Genomic DNA, 17,132 nt, shown 5'->3' on the forward strand with positions numbered 1-17,132 from the left:
AAACCAATGTTTAAAAACAGAATAATTTGGTTTTCATATTCAATTGTAAGCACATTGAAAGGGCCATGGAACATTTGCAGTGGCCTTTAGTGTATCAGAACATAGTTTAGATCTGCCGGGCGAACTAAGGCACATATTTTTAAATGAATGCCTCCCTTCAGCCGGGGCAACCCAGAACACTAGACAGTTACCGGACATGAATGAGGAGCCCTGTATTCTAGACCAGCCTGGCTACCATTTCAAGGGTCTGACTCTGAACAAATCCCTTTAGTTCTCTGGACTTTAATATCCCTTTGCAAGGTGAGGAACTCAGATAAGGTGATTACAAAGGTGTTTCAAATGATTTTCCGTTTTATTCATCTGATTGCCCAGATAACCGTTAACCAGGAATTTAGGGAAAATGCTTTTTTCCAGCAGTATCTGAGCTGCTCAACTTCAGCTCTAACAAAAAGTTTTAGAAACGTTTTTGTAATTGTAAATTTAAAGATTCGTAAGATGAATTTTATTTAACCTCTCCTTAATTGCTAGCTGTTACTATTACAATATTGGTGAAGCAGAGCATATTCCTCCAGGTTTGAAGATTTGTAGCTTAAAAAGGCTATAAAAAGCTGTTCAGTTCAGTAGTTGATTTTACGTCTTAAACTATTGTAGGACTCAGCAGAACCTCTGATAAGCAAGAGAGCTTGCTACCTCCAACAAAATCACATCTCCAGGCCCAAATAAATAAAATGTATTTCAGCATGCTTAAGGAATTTGCATGTGACATAGTTTAATAAATGAGAGTGCTGCTAGATTTTGTCTTTTAGAAATTTGATCTACTTGGGAGGCTGAAGTGGGAGGATTGCTGGAGCCTGGGAGGTCAAGGCTGCAGTGAGCTGAGGGCATGCCATTGCATTCCACTTTGGGCGGCAGAGTGAGACCCTGTCTCAAAAAAAAAAAAAAGAAAGAAAAATTTGATGTGAATACTTCAAAGTACAAACTTAAAATTTCAGTGTGAGGTCAGATTTCTTCTTTGCTTTGCCCAGCTCTGGTTTAGGATTCGGCCTTTTCAGGTTTGCTAAATGAGTCACTCTTTGTCCACCTGCTTTCCAGCACTGGCACCAGTACCCTATTGATGGAAATTTATGTAATTTCTACTCATTTGCTATTACAAATAATGCTTAAACAATAACAAGTGTATATGTCATTTAAAAAGAAAATTTACACGTAAAAATTCTTATCCAGACCAATGGAAAATGGTGCATGCATTAATTTTTTTTTTTATATTTTCTTGTAGGCCTTGAGAGTAATGGCTAAAATTATGAGAGAATGTTGGTATGCCAATGGAGCAGCTAGGCTTACAGCATTGCGGATTAAGAAAACATTATCGCAACTCAGTCAACAGGAAGGCATCAAAATGTAATTCTACAGCTTTGCCTGAACTCTCCTTTTTTCTTCAGATCTGCTCCTGGGTTTTAATTTGGGAGGTCAATTGTTCTACCTCACTGAGAGGGAACAGAAGGATATTGCTTCCTTTTGCAGCAGTGTAATAAAGTCAATTAAAAACTTCCCAGGATTTCTTTGGACCCAGGAAACAGCCATGTGGGTCCTTTCTGTGCACTATGAACGCTTCTTTCCCAGGACAGAAAATGTGTAGTCTACCTTTATTTTTTATTAACAAAACTTGTTTTTTAAAAAGATGATTGCTGGTCTTAACTTTAGGTAACTCTGCTGTGCTGGAGATCATCTTTAAGGGCAAAGGAGTTGGATTGCTGAATTACAATGAAACATGTCTTATTACTAAAGAAAGTGATTTACTCCTGGTTAGTACATTCTCAGAGGATTCTGAACCACTAGAGTTTCCTTGATTCAGACTTTGAATGTACTGTTCTATAGTTTTTCAGGATCTTAAAACTAACACTTATAAAACTCTTATCTTGAGTCTAAAAATGACCTCATATAGTAGTGAGGAACATAATTCATGCAATTGTATTTTGTATACTATTATTGTTCTTTCACTTATTCAGAACATTACATGCCTTCAAAATGGGATTGTACTATACCAGTAAGTGCCACTTCTGTGTCTTTCTAATGGAAATGAGTAGAATTGCTGAAAGTCTCTATGTTAAAACCTATAGTGTTTGAATTCAAAAAGCTTATTTATCTGGGTAACCCAAACTTTTTCTGTTTTGTTTTTGGAAGGGTTTTTGTGGTATGTCATTTGGTATTCTATTCTGAAAATGCCTTTCTCCTACCAAAATGTGCTTAAGCCACTAAAGAAATGAAGTGGCATTAATTAGTAAATTATTAGCATGGTCATGTTTGAATATTCTCACATCAAGCTTTTGCATTTTAATTGTGTTGTCTAAGTATACTTTTAAAAAATCAAGTGGCACTCTAGATGCTTATAGTACTTTAATATTTGTAGCATACAGACTAATTTTTCTAAAAGGGAAAGTCTGTCTAGCTGCTTGTGAAAAGTTATGTGGTATTCTGTAAGCCATTTTTTTCTTTATCTGTTCAAAGACTTATTTTTTAAGACATGAATTACATTTAAAATTAGAATATGGTTAATATTAAATAATAGGCCTTTTTCTAGGAAGGCGAAGGTAGTTAATAATTTGAATAGATAACAGATGTGCAAGAAAGTCACATTTGTTATGTATGTAGGAGTAAACGTTCGGTGGATCCTCTGTCTTTGTAACTGAGGTTAGAGCTAGTGTGGTTTTGAGGTCTCACTACACTTTGAGGAAGGCAGCTTTTAATTCAGTGTTTCCTTATGTGTGCGTACATTGCAACTGCTTACATGTAATTTATGTAATGCATTCAGTGCACCCTTGTTACTTGGGAGAGGTGGTAGCTAAAGAACATTCTGAGTATAGGTTTTTCTCCATTTACAGATGTCTTTGGTCAAATATTGAAAGCAAACTTGTCATGGTCTTCTTACATTAAGTTGAAACTAGCTTATAATAACTGGTTTTTACTTCCAATGCTATGAAGTCTCTGCAGGGCTTTTACAGTTTTCGAAGTCCTTTTATCACTGTGATCTTATTCTGAGGGGAGAAAAAACTATCATAGCTCTGAGGCAAGACTTCGACTTTATAGTGCTATCAGTTCCCCGATACAGGGTCAGAGTAACCCATACAGTATTTTGGTCAGGAAGAGAAAGTGGCCATTTACACTGAATGAGTTGCATTCTGATAATGTCTTATCTCTTATACGTAGAATAAATTTGAAAGACTATTTGATCTTAAAACCAAAGTAATTTTAGAATGAGTGACATATTACATAGGAATTTAGTGTCAATTTCATGTGTTTAAAAACATCATGGGAAAAATGCTTAGAGGTTACTATTTTGACTACAAAGTTGAGTTTTTTTCTGTAGTTACCATAATTTCATTGAAGCAAATGAATGAGTTTGAGAGGTTTGTTTTTATAGTTGTGTTGTATTACTTGTTTAATAATAATCTCTAATTCTGTGATCAGGTACTTTTTTTGTGGGGGTTTTTTTTTTGTTTTTTTTTTTTTGTTGTTGTTTTTGGGCCATTTCTAAGCCTACCAGATCTGCTTTATGAAATCCAGGGGACCAATGCATTTTATCACTAAAACTATTTTTATATAATTTTAAGAATATACCAAAAGTTGTCTGATTTAAAGTTGTAATACATGATTTCTCACTTTCATGTAAGGTTATCCACTTTTGCTGAAGATATTTTTTATTGAATCAAAGATTGAGTTACAATTATACTTTTCTTACCTAAGTGGATAAAATGTACTTTTGATGAATCAGGGAATTTTTTTAAAGTTGGAGTTTAGTTCTAAATTGACTTTACGTATTACTGCAGTTAATTCCTTTTTTGGCTAGGGATGGTTTGATAAACCACAATTGGCTGATATTGAAAATGAAAGAAACTTAAAAGGTGGGATGGATCATGATTACTGTCGATAACTGCAGATAAATTTGATTAGAGTAATAATTTTGTCATTTAAAAACACAGTTGTTTATACTGCCCATCCTAGGATGCTCACCTTCCAAGATTCAACGTGGCTAAAACATCTTCTGGTAAATTGTGCGTCCATATTCATTTTGTCAGTAGCCAGGAGAAATGGGGATGGGGGAAATACGACTTAGTGAGGCATAGACATCCCTGGTCCATCCTTTCTGTCTCCAGCTGTTTCTTGGAACCTGCTCTCCTGCTTGCTGGTCCCTGACGCAGAGACCGTTGCCTCCCCCACAGCCGTTTGACTGAAGGCTGCTCTGGAGACCTAGAGTAAAACGGCTGATGGAAGTTGTGGGACCCACTTCCATTTCCTTCAGTCATTAGAGGTGGAAGGGAGGGGTCTCCAAGTTTGGAGATTGAGCAGATGAGGCTTGGGATGCCCCTGCTTTGACTTCAGCCATGGATGAGGAGTGGGATGGCAGCAAGGTGGCTCCTGTGGCAGTGGAGTTGTGCCAGAAACAGTGGCCAGTTGTATCGCCTATAAGACAGGGTAAGGTCTGAAGAGCTGAGCCTGTAATTCTGCTGTAATAATGATAGTGCTCAAGAAGTGCCTTGAGTTGGTGTACAGTGCCATGGCCATCAAGAATCCCAGATTTCAGGTTTTATTACAAAATGTAAGTGGTCACTTGGCGATTTTGTAGTACATGCATGAGTTACCTTTTTTCTCTATGTCTGAGAACTGTCAGATTAAAACAAGATGGCAAAGAGATCGTTAGAGTGCACAACAAAATCACTATCCCATTAGACACATCATCAAAAGCTTATTTTTATTCTTGCACTGGAAGAATCGTAAGTCAACTGTTTCTTGACCATGGCAGTGTTCTGGCTCCAAATGGTAGTGATTCCAAATAATGGTTCTGTTAACACTTTGGCAGAAAATGCCAGCTCAGATATTTTGAGATACTAAGGATTATCTTTGGACATGTACTGCAGCTTCTTGTCTCTGTTTTGGATTACTGGAATACCCATGGGCCCTCTCAAGAGTGCTGGACTTCTAGGACATTAAGATGATTGTCAGTACATTAAACTTTTCAATCCCATTATGCAATCTTGTTTGTAAATGTAAACTTCTAAAAATATGGTTAATAACATTCAACCTGTTTATTACAACTTAAAAGGAACTTCAGTGAATTTGTTTTTATTTTTTAACAAGATTTGTGAACTGAATATCATGAACCATGTTTTGATACCCCTTTTTCACGTTGTGCCAACGGAATAGGGTGTTTGATATTTCTTCATATGTTAAGGAGATGCTTCAAAATGTCAATTGCTTTAAACTTAAATTACCTCTCAAGAGACCAAGGTACATTTACCTCATTGTGTATATAATGTTTAATATTTGTCAGAGCATTCTCCAGGTTTGCAGTTTTATTTCTATAAAGTATGGGTATTATGTTGCTCAGTTACTCAAATGGTACTGTATTGTTTATATTTGTACCCCAAATAACATCGTCTGTACTTTCTGTTTTCTGTATTGTATTTGTGCAGGATTCTTTAGGCTTTATCAGTGTAATCTCTGCCTTTTAAGATATGTACAGAAAATGTCCATATAAATTTCCATTGAAGTCGAATGATACTGAGAAGCCTGTAAAGAGGAGAAAAAAACATAAGCTGTGTTTCCCCATAAGTTTTTTTAAATTGTATATTGTATTTGTAGTAATATTCCAAAAGAATGTAAATAGGAAATAGAAGAGTGATGCTTATGTTAAGTCCTAACACTACAGTAGAAGAATGGAAGCAGTGCAAATAAATTACATTTTTCCCAAGTGCCAGTGGCATATTTTAAAATAAAGTGTATACGTTGGAATGAGTCATGCCATATGTAGTTGCTGTAGATGGCAACTAGAACCTTTGAGTTACAAGAGTCTTTAGAAGTTTTCTAACCCTGCCTAGTGCAAGTTACAATATTATAGCGTGTTCGGGGAGTGCCCTCCTGTCTGCAGGTGTGTCTCTGTGCCTGGGGGCTTTTCTCCACATGCTTAGGGGTGTGGGTCTTCCATTGGGGCATGATGGACCTGTCTACAGGTGATCTCTGTTGCCTTTGGGTCAGCACATTTGTTAGTCTCCTGGGGGTGAAAACTTGGCTTACAAGAGAACTGGAAAAATGATGAGATGTGGTCCCCAAACCCTTGATTGACTCTGGGGAGGGGCTTTGTGAATAGGATTGCTCTCACATTAAAGATAGTTACTTCAATTTGAAGGCTGGATTTAGGGATTTTTTTTTTTCCTTATAACAAAGACATCACCAGGATATGAAGCTTTTGTTGAAAGTTGGAAAAAAAGTGAAATTAAAGACATTCCCAGACAAATACTAAGACAATTTGTTGCCTATGGACGTCTGCCTTACAAGAAATACTAAATCCTTCACACAGAAAATAAATGACACCAGATGGTAACCTGAATCCACAGGATGAAATGAAGAGCACCAGAAATGGTGGATATATGTACAACTAGCAAAGACTGTATGATTGTATAGCTGCCATAAATTACTACAAATGCCCTGGCTTAAAGCAACACCTATTTATGATCTCAGAATTCCATAATTCAGAAGTCTAGGCATAGCTCAGATGGTTCTCTGCTCCATATTTTAAAAGGTCAAAATGAAGGCATTGGCTGGGCAACATTCTTTTCTGGAGGCTCGGATGAATAGGCTTCCAAGCTCATTGAGGTTGTTGGCAGAATTCAGCTCCATATGGTTGTAAGACAGGTTGGCCAGGGGTGGTTGTCAGTTTCTAGAAGCCACTCAAATTCTTTGGCTCGTGGTTCCCTCCTCCATCATCAAAACCAGCAGCAATGGGTTGAATCATCCTTGCACTTTTCTCGGATCTCCCCTTCTGCCTCATCTCTCCACTGTCTCTTCCACTGCATCTCTCTAATGCTTCTGCTTCCCTCTTCTGCTTTTAAGGGGCCATGTGATTACTCAGGGGGCCATCTGGATAATCCAGGATAATTACCCTATTTAGTAACCTCAGTTTTACCTGCAAAGTGCATTCACTGCAGTACCAAGATTAGTATTTGATTAAATAACTAGAGAATGGGAATCTTGGGGAAATAATTTGCCTACCAAAATAAATGTAAGTTATCTTTCAGTAGCATAAGACTATATAGTAATTACATCACCATACTGTTGGGTTTACAATATAGGTGCAGTGTATATTAATAACAAAGGAGTGGGTAGGAAATGGAACTCTATTGGGACAAAGATGTATCTTATTAGAATTAATTAGTCCTAATTTGAAGATGATTGTAATAAATTGAAATGCATGCTGTAGAGCCTGGAGTAACCACTGAAGCATCAATTTAAAAATAAATTAAAAAAAACAAAATGGTACACCAAGAAATATTTAACACAAAAGGCAGAAAGAAAGAAGCAAAATGATAGACATTTGGAAAACAAATAGCAAAATGGCAGCCATAAGTAATCATGCCAATAATTTCATTAAATGTGAATGGACTAAATAGTTAAAAGGTAGAGATGGTCAGGATGGATTTAAAAAGAAAAAACTATATGGTGTTCACAGAGGCACACTGTAGATTCAAAGACCAATAGCTGTAAAGTGAAAGTATGGAAAAATATAACATGCAAACAGTAATCGTAAGAGAGCTGGAATGTCTATATCAGTACAGTGGGCTTTAAGACAAATATTACTGGAAATATAGGATATTTTAAAAAGCCAATATATCAGATATAACAGTTAACATATGTATATGCACCTAACAGGACCCCAAAATAACGAGAAAAATGATAGAATTGAGAGGAGAAATGGACAATTTAATAATATTTGGAGATTTTGACACCTACAATAATTGATAGAATGACTCAATTGAGAATCACAGGCATACAAAAGAATGCTGTCAGCCAAATTGTCCAAACATTTACCACCACCCACCACGAACAGAATGCACACTCTTTGCTAGTGCACATGGAACATTCTCCAGGGGAAACCACATGCTATTTCATAAAAGAAGTCTCAGTGAATTAAAAGGGATGAAATAGTAGGAAGTATGTTCTCCAACCATGTTGAAATTAGAAGTCAACAGAAAATTGCAAATCCCAAAATATTCGGAAATTGAATCACACATTTCTAAAAAACCCATGTATTGAAGAAGTCACAAAGGAAGTTAGAAAATTTTAAACAAATGAAAAAGTACAGCATGTCAAAATTTATAGTGTACAGCTAATGCACTGTTTAAAGGGAAATTTACACTTTTAAATACCTATACTTTAGAAGTATTAAAGCCAGTGGGGATAGCTGCAAAAATACTTAAAACACAATATTAGGAAACTGAATCCAACAACAGATAAAAGGATTTATACACCAGGACCAAATGGGCCATATCCTAGGACTGTAAGCTTCATTTAACATCAAAAAAATCAATGTATTATACCATACTAATAGAAGAAACAATAAAACCCATATTATTATAATAACTAAATAGCCAAAGGAAAGAATATTTGACAGAATTCAGCACCCATTCGTGATGAAAACTCAGCAAACTAGAAATAGAAGGCAACTTCCTCAACCTAGTGAAGGGCATCGATAAAAAACTCACAGCCAACATACTTGATGGTGAAAGAATACTTTTCTCCTTAAATCAGAAACAAGTCGAGAACATCCTTTCATCATTTCTATTCAATGTTGTCATGGAGGTTCTGTCCAGTCCCTGTTCCCTCTCCCTACAAAAAGACTAGAAAGACATTAGGTTGGGGAAAAAAGTAAAACTGTCTTTATTAAGAAATATTACCTGTCAGATTCTAAAGAATCCACCGGAAAAAATTTTTTTTTTGAAGCTACAAGACCTAATTCAGCAAGCAAGGTTGTAGGATACACAATCAATATTAAAAATTGACATTATATTAGCAATGAACGATACCTTCAAAAGTAAACTCAGAATAGCGTCAAAAAGAATATAATAATACATTTATTTAATTGAAAAAATATTGCCGAGAGAAATCAAAGGATCTAAATGAGAACTTCCATGCTCATGGATTAGAGAATTCAACAGTGTTATGATGGCAATTCTCCCCAAATTGTTCTATAGATTCAACTCAATCCCTAGCGATATTCCAGAAAGGTTTTTCTTTAAATTCACAAGCTGATCCTAAAACTTAACATGGAAATGCAAAATGTCTAAAAGATCCTAAATGATTTTGAAATGCACAAAATTGGAGGAATTGCCTTACCCAGTTTCAAAACTTACTGTAAAGCAACAATAATCAAGACTGTTTATTGACACAAGGATAGTCAGTCATATACAGCAACAGGACAGAATTAAGAGTCCAGAAATAAGCCCTCACAGACGACCAACGGACTTTCAAGATATGTGCAAAGATAATTCAACAGGAGAAAAGACAGTCATTTCAATAAATGGTGCTGAGACAATTGGATATCTGTATTTTAAAAGGAAGGAAAAAAGGAAGAAAGTTAATTAGACCCTCAGCTCATTATGCACCTAAAGGTAAGAGCTAAAGCTATACAACTTCTAGAAGAAAACAGGAGAAAATCTTTGTGATGTTAGGTTAGGCAAAGATTTTAATAGGACTTCAAAAGCAAAATTTATTAAAAACCAGTTGATAAATTGGACTTCACCACAATTAAAATATTTGGGGCTTTAAAAAACAAGAGAATGAAAAGATGAGCCAAAGACTGGCATAAAGTATTTGCAAATCATACATCTGATAAGAGATTTGTATTCAGAATATATAAAGAACTCTTACAATTCAATAAGAATACAAATGGCCCAATTAAAAATTGGTGAACAAATTCATTGCTCAGAGATTGGGTATGGTAGAGTTAATTCTAAATTCTGTATTTGGGTATTAATGTTTAAATGGTAATTCGGCAACAGTTGATAAAGTGAAGCTCTAAATACCATGAATTATGTGTAGGACTGTGACAAAAAAAGTAAAAATAAAAACTGGTCAAAAGATTTGACATTTTCCCAAGAAGATATATGAATGGCTAATAAACATAATTCTTTATAAAGACTAGATGAAATTAAAACCACAATGAGAAACCACTCCTCACACACTCAAATGATTATAGTTTTTAAAAAGACAGATAGCCAAGTGTCAATAAAGATGAGAAAAAGATGAATCTCACACATTGCTGGAATGTAAACAGTCCCTTTGGAAAACAGATTGCAGTATCTTAAGAGGTTAAATAGAAACCTATTATGTAACCCAGTAATATCATTTCTAGGTATCAGTAGAGGTGCCAGATAAAATACAGGAGGCTCAGTTAAATTTGTGTGTCAGATAAAAACAATTTTTTAGTATAAGTTTGTCCCACATATTGCATGGAACATGTTTATACTAAAAAAAAGTATTGTTTATCTGACATTTAAATTTAACTCGGCTTCCTGTATTTTAACTTGCTAAATCTGGCAACTCTAATCCAAGAAAAATTAAAACATATGTCCACACAAAGACCTGTAGGTGAATATTCACAGCAGCATAATTCCTAATAGTCAAAAATGGAAACAAGCTAAATGTCCATCATCTGGTGAATTGATATTTAAGAGGTAAGGTATTTATACCATGGTTTATAAGACTGCTTGATCCTTGTTATAATGTGGATGACCTCAAAACCCTCATGCTAAGTGAAGGAAGTGGGATGAAAAGGTTGCAGAAAGGCACAAGGGAGCTTTTTCGGATGATGGGAATTGAGGCAGGAGAATAGGGTCTGGAGGCAGGGAACCTAAGGCTCTTTCACCCTGACTTCCTAGAACTAAATTGAAAGGAAAACCCTAACTTTCCACGCCTAAGTAAAAAAAGGACCAGAGGCTGCAGATGGGAAATCTGTCTGCAACAAATCAGACTGAGTACCAGTGGAGTCTTCGTTTGCAACTTTGTGACTTAGCTCCAGCCTCTGAATGGTTGCCGTCCACAATCAACCAGACTGATTGCAGGCTTAGTCAGTCTTCATTTGCACAGAAGTATAACTTTGTAACTTCACCGTAGCCTCTGATTGGTTGCCTTTACCAATCAGATGTTTGCACAGGAGTGTGACCTTTGTAACTTCAGCCTCTGGTTGGCTGCTTTCTGCAACCAATCAGACTGATTGAGGGCTACCACTTCATTTACATGAAGTATGCATGAAGTGGCCAATGGGAAACTTCTGGGGGGTATTTGGACCAAAGAAGATTCTGTATTGGGGGCTCTTGAGTAGCTGCTCAGGCTGCTCCCACACTGTGGAGTGTACTTTTGTTTTCAATACATCCCTGCTTTCCTTCTTTTGTTGCTTCATTCTTTCTTTGCTTTGCTGGGCGTTTTGTTCAACTCTGTTCAAAACGCCAGGAATCTGGACAACTTGCAGTTACGACCTTCTACTGGTGACAGAATGTTTCAAAGCTTGATTTTGGTGATGGATTCAGAACTCCGTAAATTTACTAAACATTGTGCACATGAAATGGGGAAATTTTATGGTGTGTAAACTATATCTCAATACGTCTGTTAAAGGAAAAAAAAGTAAAACTCGCCTTTGCCAGTTTTTGTTGTTGTTGTTTGTTTTTTGTTTTTTCTTTAAACAGGGACTCTCTGTCACCCAGGCTGGAGAGCAGTGGTGCGATCACAGCTCCGGGCAACCTCGACTTTCCCGGGTTCAAGTGATTCTCGCCCATCAGCATCTCGAGTAGCTGGGACTACAGGCACCAGCCAGCACCCCAGGCTAATTTTTGTATTTTTTAGTAGATACGGGGTTTCAGCGTGTAGCCCAGGCTAGTCTCGAACTCCTGAGCTCAGGTGATCCGTCCGCGTCAGCCTCCCAAAGTGCTGGGATTACAGGCGTGAGCCACTGCACCGGGTCTCACCTTACCATTCTTGCCACCCACCATACTTCCTTCATCTGTCCGCCATGCTGCATGTCCCGACGCACCCTGCTTCCTGCCTTTCTGCTAGGCTCCGCCCTTCGCTGGAACTGCATTTTTCCCTCTCCTCTGCCTTGCTAACTTGAATCAACCCCAAGGCTCAGGTCGGAAGGCATTTCCTCCACTATTGTTGCGCATCCTGCCTGCTGGCAAATCATTGATCCCCTGCTGCATTTCCAAATCACTTACCTCATTTCATTGCACATCGTTCCTGTTTTAATCCCCTTAGGGAGTTAGGACTCTTGCTCTCCCTCTCTTCCCTTGAGAGAAGCAGACGGTTTCTGTGTATTTTCCTGTCCAAGCACCTAACGTGAAAATTAACAAAATAGTTTGAGTGCTTATTTTTGGTGCTAACTCTGCTGGGTCCTTGGATGCTCCGGGAGTCTGGCATGTTTGGGGTGCTTTGTCAAAATTTTTAGGGGTCTTCCCTAAATGGCTCCCACCACACTCTGTTTCCAATGCCGCATCATTTCGTACACATGCCTCCCTCTAAGCCCTTGTATTAATTTTACGTCTCTGTGTTGTTCCAAGGCTTGCTGCTGCAACTAGCTATGAATGCCTGGAGAACAGGGACTCTGTCTGATTCATTTCTGTGAAGCTCTTGCCTAGTCCAGGGCTTGGCTCAGAGCACGCACTAAGAGGAGCTTGTTGAATGAACGAATATTCAATTAAAGGAATCCCAAATGAATATGAACCAATCTAACAGAATGTCGCTATGGAGATGGATATTTACTTCATCAATAAGGAGAGTCCTTCATCCTGGGGCTCCCCAAATGCAAGGCCTACAAGTTTTTTTATAAAGGGATTTCTTACTGCCCCACCAATTTCTGGCCTCCCCTTGCTATTCCGTTTATTTATTCCATCAACTACTTCCATTTTTTTTATTGGTTTATATTTTTCTCATATTTGATGGCATTCTTTTTAAAACAATGAGCTCTCCTTAGTCAGAACCCAGCACCTTTTAGTAAGATGGAAGTTTGGGATCTTCTGATTTGAATTACGTAAAGTGAAAGAATATTTTTACATTCTTGATACTTATTCTCAATTTTGCATTCTCTTTATGGCACATTGACTGTATAATAAATCCTGTACATATTATTCATCTCTTTATATTTCTTTTCTTGTACTGTTCTCCCAAATGAAAACCAGAATTCTTATTCACAGCAATTTAGACCAGCCCAGCTTATGAGCAGAGTGATACAGGTCATTTTGGAAGTCTTTCCAGCTCTATTATTTTGTGATTCTCATATAGTTCTTACTTTTTTTTTTAACCAATGATTGAATGAAATCTGTTTTGATCATATTGGGATGTTCATATTTTCAACCTTTATTCATTTGTTTATTCTCTCAAGTTCCTTTTTATGTGATTTTTAAAAACATTTCAACTTTTATTTTAGATTCAGGGTGTACATGTGCAGATTTTTTTACATGGTTATATTGCATGATGCTGAGGTTTGGGGTATGATTGATTCTGTCACTCAGGTAGTGAGCATAGACCCAATGCATAGTTTTTCAGCCCCTGTTCCCTCCTACCTGCCCCGTGCAGCAGTCCCCAGTGTCGGTTGTTCCCATTTTTGTGTCCATGTGTACCCCGTGTTTAGCTTATAAAGTGAGAACATGCCATATTTGGTTTTCTGTTTCTGTGTTAGTTCGCTTAGGTTAATGGCCTCCAGCTGCATCCATGTTGCTGCGAAGAACATGATTTTGGTTTTTTATGATCGTATAGTATTCCATGGTGTATATGTACCACATTTTCTTTATCCAATCCACCGTGGATGGGCACCTAGGTTGATTCCATGTCTTTGCTATTGTGAATAGTGCTGCAATAAACATGTGAGCATCTTTTTGATAGAACAATGTATTTTCCCTTGGGTATCTGAGTAATGGAACTGCTGGGTTGAATGGTAGTTCTGTTTTAAGCTCTTTGAGAAACCTCCAAACTGCTTTCCACAGTGGTGGAACTTTATATTTCCAGCAGCAGTGTGCAAGGATTCCCTTTTCTCTGCAGCCTCCCCACCATCTATTATTTTTTGACTTTTAATAAGAGCCATTCTGACTGGTGTGAGATGGTGTCTCATTGTCAACCTTTAAAAATGAACAAGAGTTTGGTTCATCAGATCGCATTGCCTATGTTTTTTGTTTGTTTATTTGTTTGTTTGTTTTTGAGACAGAGTTTCACTCTTTCACCCAGGCCAGAGTACAGTGGTGAGATCTCGGCTCACTGCAACTTCTGCCTTCCAGGTTAAAGTGATTCTCCTGCCTCAGCCTCCTGAGTAGCTGGGATTACAGGCGCCTGCCACCACGCCCGGCTAATTTTTGTATTTTTAGTAGAGATGGGGTTTCACCATGTTGGCCAGGCTGGTCTCGAACTCCTGACCTTGTGATCCGCCCGCCTCGGCCTCCTAAACTGCTGGGATTACAGGCGTGAGCCACCACGCCCGGCCACTGCCTACCTTTTTAAAGAATGTGTCCTAAGCATGGTTAAGTTTGATACAGACATTCGGTGCTTGCCAAATACAGGCTGAGTTTAGGATGGCTCACCAAATATATAGCTTGATTCCTCCTGGACTATCTCATGCCATGGCTATGTTTGAGTCATTCCAAAAGCCAGTCGAATGGGATCTGTGACTCTGGGTGGAAGGGGCCCTGCATAGTACTTAACATAGAGTGGGCATCAATAAGTATTTGGTTGAATACACGAGTGCATGCAGATAATCTAACTGTAATCTAACTTCCTCAGAAATGCTGATGTTCTTCTGTAACTTCCAGGATGGAGGGTCACAGTGCTTCTCTATTGACATATATTCAGTGAGCAGGGTGCCTTCACTGTTTTCACAGAACATTATCTTATTTTTGGAAAGTAACAATTAAAACATTCTTTCTAGCAGAGTGACATATGTTGGCCCATATCTCCTCCCCACTCGTCTGCCAGGGTCCCACACTCCCAGCCTTTGTCCTGTAGCACAGCAAGTAAGAAACTGAGACCAAGTCCCTTTGGGTAGGCTCTTTACTAGGCTGAACAGAGTCTGTTTCTTAAACTGTCACTCATACCTTCCCAAGCATCCCTCAGTATGCTCCTGATTCCTTACTTCTATGGCTAAGAATCCGTGTGCCTGGTGGAAGATAACCCAGATTTCAGGTCTGTGCAGATCTCAAAATATCTCAAAATCTGTTTAAAAATCACAATTTAAAAAAAACTCAACTTAGCCTGTTCTCCAATAAATCCTCAATAGGTGGCAGTGTTGATCTTTCTTTGGTCTCTGGTCTGCGGGAGTGTTTTGGTTTGTTTGTTTTGTTTTCATATTAGAAAAGAGTTGAGGTTTCTACCTAGTTTTAGATTGAGTTCTACTAAATGTAGTTCTCAATCAGACTATTTTTCTTGAGGCCATACCAAAATCAATGACTGTTTTTCTTGAGGCCTTACCAAAAGCAATATCTCCTACGCCAGCTAAAAATGTGGTAAATCTTCAAGCTAGTATTCTATTATTTAACATTTTTAATTATAACAATTATTCATGGTTGTAAAGTTTCAAAAGCTACAGAAGTGTAGAAAGTAAAAAGTGAATGAAAGTTTTCCAGGTGTTTTGCTATGCACATAAAAATGCATATAGTTATAAAACATATAGATATATAACATTTATATATATAAATAGAGAACAATATGGATAATATGACTCTATATAAAAATGTTATATATCTGTATGTTTATATATAAATGTTATACATCTGTCATGTTTATATATGTAAATGTTATATATCTGTATGTTTATATATAACTGTTATTTATCTGTATGCTCATATATATGGCACATATATATATGAGGTCATATTAACCATGTTAGTCTGCAGCTTACATTTGCTTCTTTACATAGTGTTTGTTCTTCCACGTCAATATATATGATCACCATTCTTCCCACTTTCATGGCTTATAACAAAACTTTTACATTCTTTTTTTTCTTTTCCTTTTTTGAGACAGGGTCTCACTCTGTTGCCAGGCTGGAGTGCAGTGGCACAATCTCGGCTCACTGCACCCTCCGCCTCCCAGGCTCAAGCAATTCTCCTGCCTCAGCCTCCCGAGTAGCTGATTACAGGAGCCCACCACCACGCCGGGCTAATTTTTGTATTTTTAGTAGAGACAGGGTTTCACCATGTTGGCCAGGCTGGTCTTGAACTCCTGACCTCAAATGATCCACCCATCTCGGCCTCCCATAACATTTACATTCTGTTCTGGAACTACAGCCAAGTCTTCTAGGCTTGAATACTTAAACCAAATAAAAATAGCATTTACCATATTGTGGTTATACAAATATTAATCACTGCAGAAAAAAGTGTGATAAAATCTATAGAGAAAGAAAGAATATTCCATGTATTTAATACCAGCCACACAGCTGTCAACATTCAAATCTTGGTCTTTTAATGTAGTTTTTACTTTCCTCACTTTTATTCAGGTATCATTGTTTTTTATTTGCTTCAGTCTCATTTTTTTGAAATCTCATTCTTTCATTCCCTTTGTTTTGCACAAGTACTTCCGTGAGTAATTTTTACATTCGAGTGCACACGTGATAAACTTTCCTTGCATTGCTGGAGTATAATTTCAGCTCAAATTCATATTCCATTGGAGTTTTTTTTCTTTTTTCTTTTCTGAGACAGTCTCACTCTGTCACCCAGGCTGCAGTGCAGTGGTGCAGTCTCAGCTAACTGCAACCTTCACTTCCCAGGTTCAAGTGATTCTTCTGCCTCAGCCTCCTGGGTAGCTGGGATTACAAGCACGTGGTACCACACCTGGCTAATTTTTGTATTTTCAGTAGAGATGGGGTTTCACCATGTTGCTCAGGCTGGTCTCGAGCTCCTGACATTAAGTGACCTGCCTGCCTTGGCCTCCCAAAGTGCTGGGATTATAGACTTGAGCCACCATACCCAGCCTCCACTGGAGTTTTAAAGGCATGATTTTTAAAGCATTTCTGATGGGAAGTCTGAAATTAATTAAATTCTCATTTCTAATATTCAAGCTTTTAAGCCTTTCTCATTCTTCTTGGGGTTCTGAAATTTCTAAAAATATCTAGGTATGGGTTTTGTTTTCATTTATCCTGCTTGGTACTTAGTGGCCTCTTTCAATCTGAGGACTTGTATTTTTTCCCAGCTCAGGGAAACTTTCTATTATGTCTTTGACTTTATCCCCCACCACCTCTCTGATTTTTTTTCTTACCTTCTGAAACTCCTACTGAATTGATGGATGCTAGCCTCCTGGAGCTTTCCTGTTTCTAGACTTTTAGTTTTTACTAT

The 17,132-nt window shown here is 37.6% G+C and overlaps 1 protein-coding gene across 29 annotated transcripts in view; it reads left to right on the plus strand.

Moving 5' to 3' along the window:
- The window catches only part of TGFBR1 (transforming growth factor beta receptor 1), a 50,546-nt gene extending 44,257 nt beyond the window's left edge, over positions 1-6,289 (plus strand). For all 29 annotated transcript variants that reach the window (NR_176360.1, NR_176362.1, NR_176361.1 and 26 more), the window contains one exon: positions 1,277-6,289. Coding sequence is in view for 25 of the 29 variants with exons in the window: in NM_001407418.1 (NP_001394347.1) it covers positions 1,277-1,402 (126 nt within the window). In the remaining 4 variants the exon portion in view is untranslated. The remainder of the gene's footprint in view (positions 1-1,276) is intronic.

This window comes from Homo sapiens, chromosome 9 (genome assembly GCF_000001405.40).
Source record: "Homo sapiens chromosome 9, GRCh38.p14 Primary Assembly".
NCBI classification, from domain to species: Eukaryota; Metazoa; Chordata; class Mammalia; order Primates; family Hominidae; genus Homo; species Homo sapiens.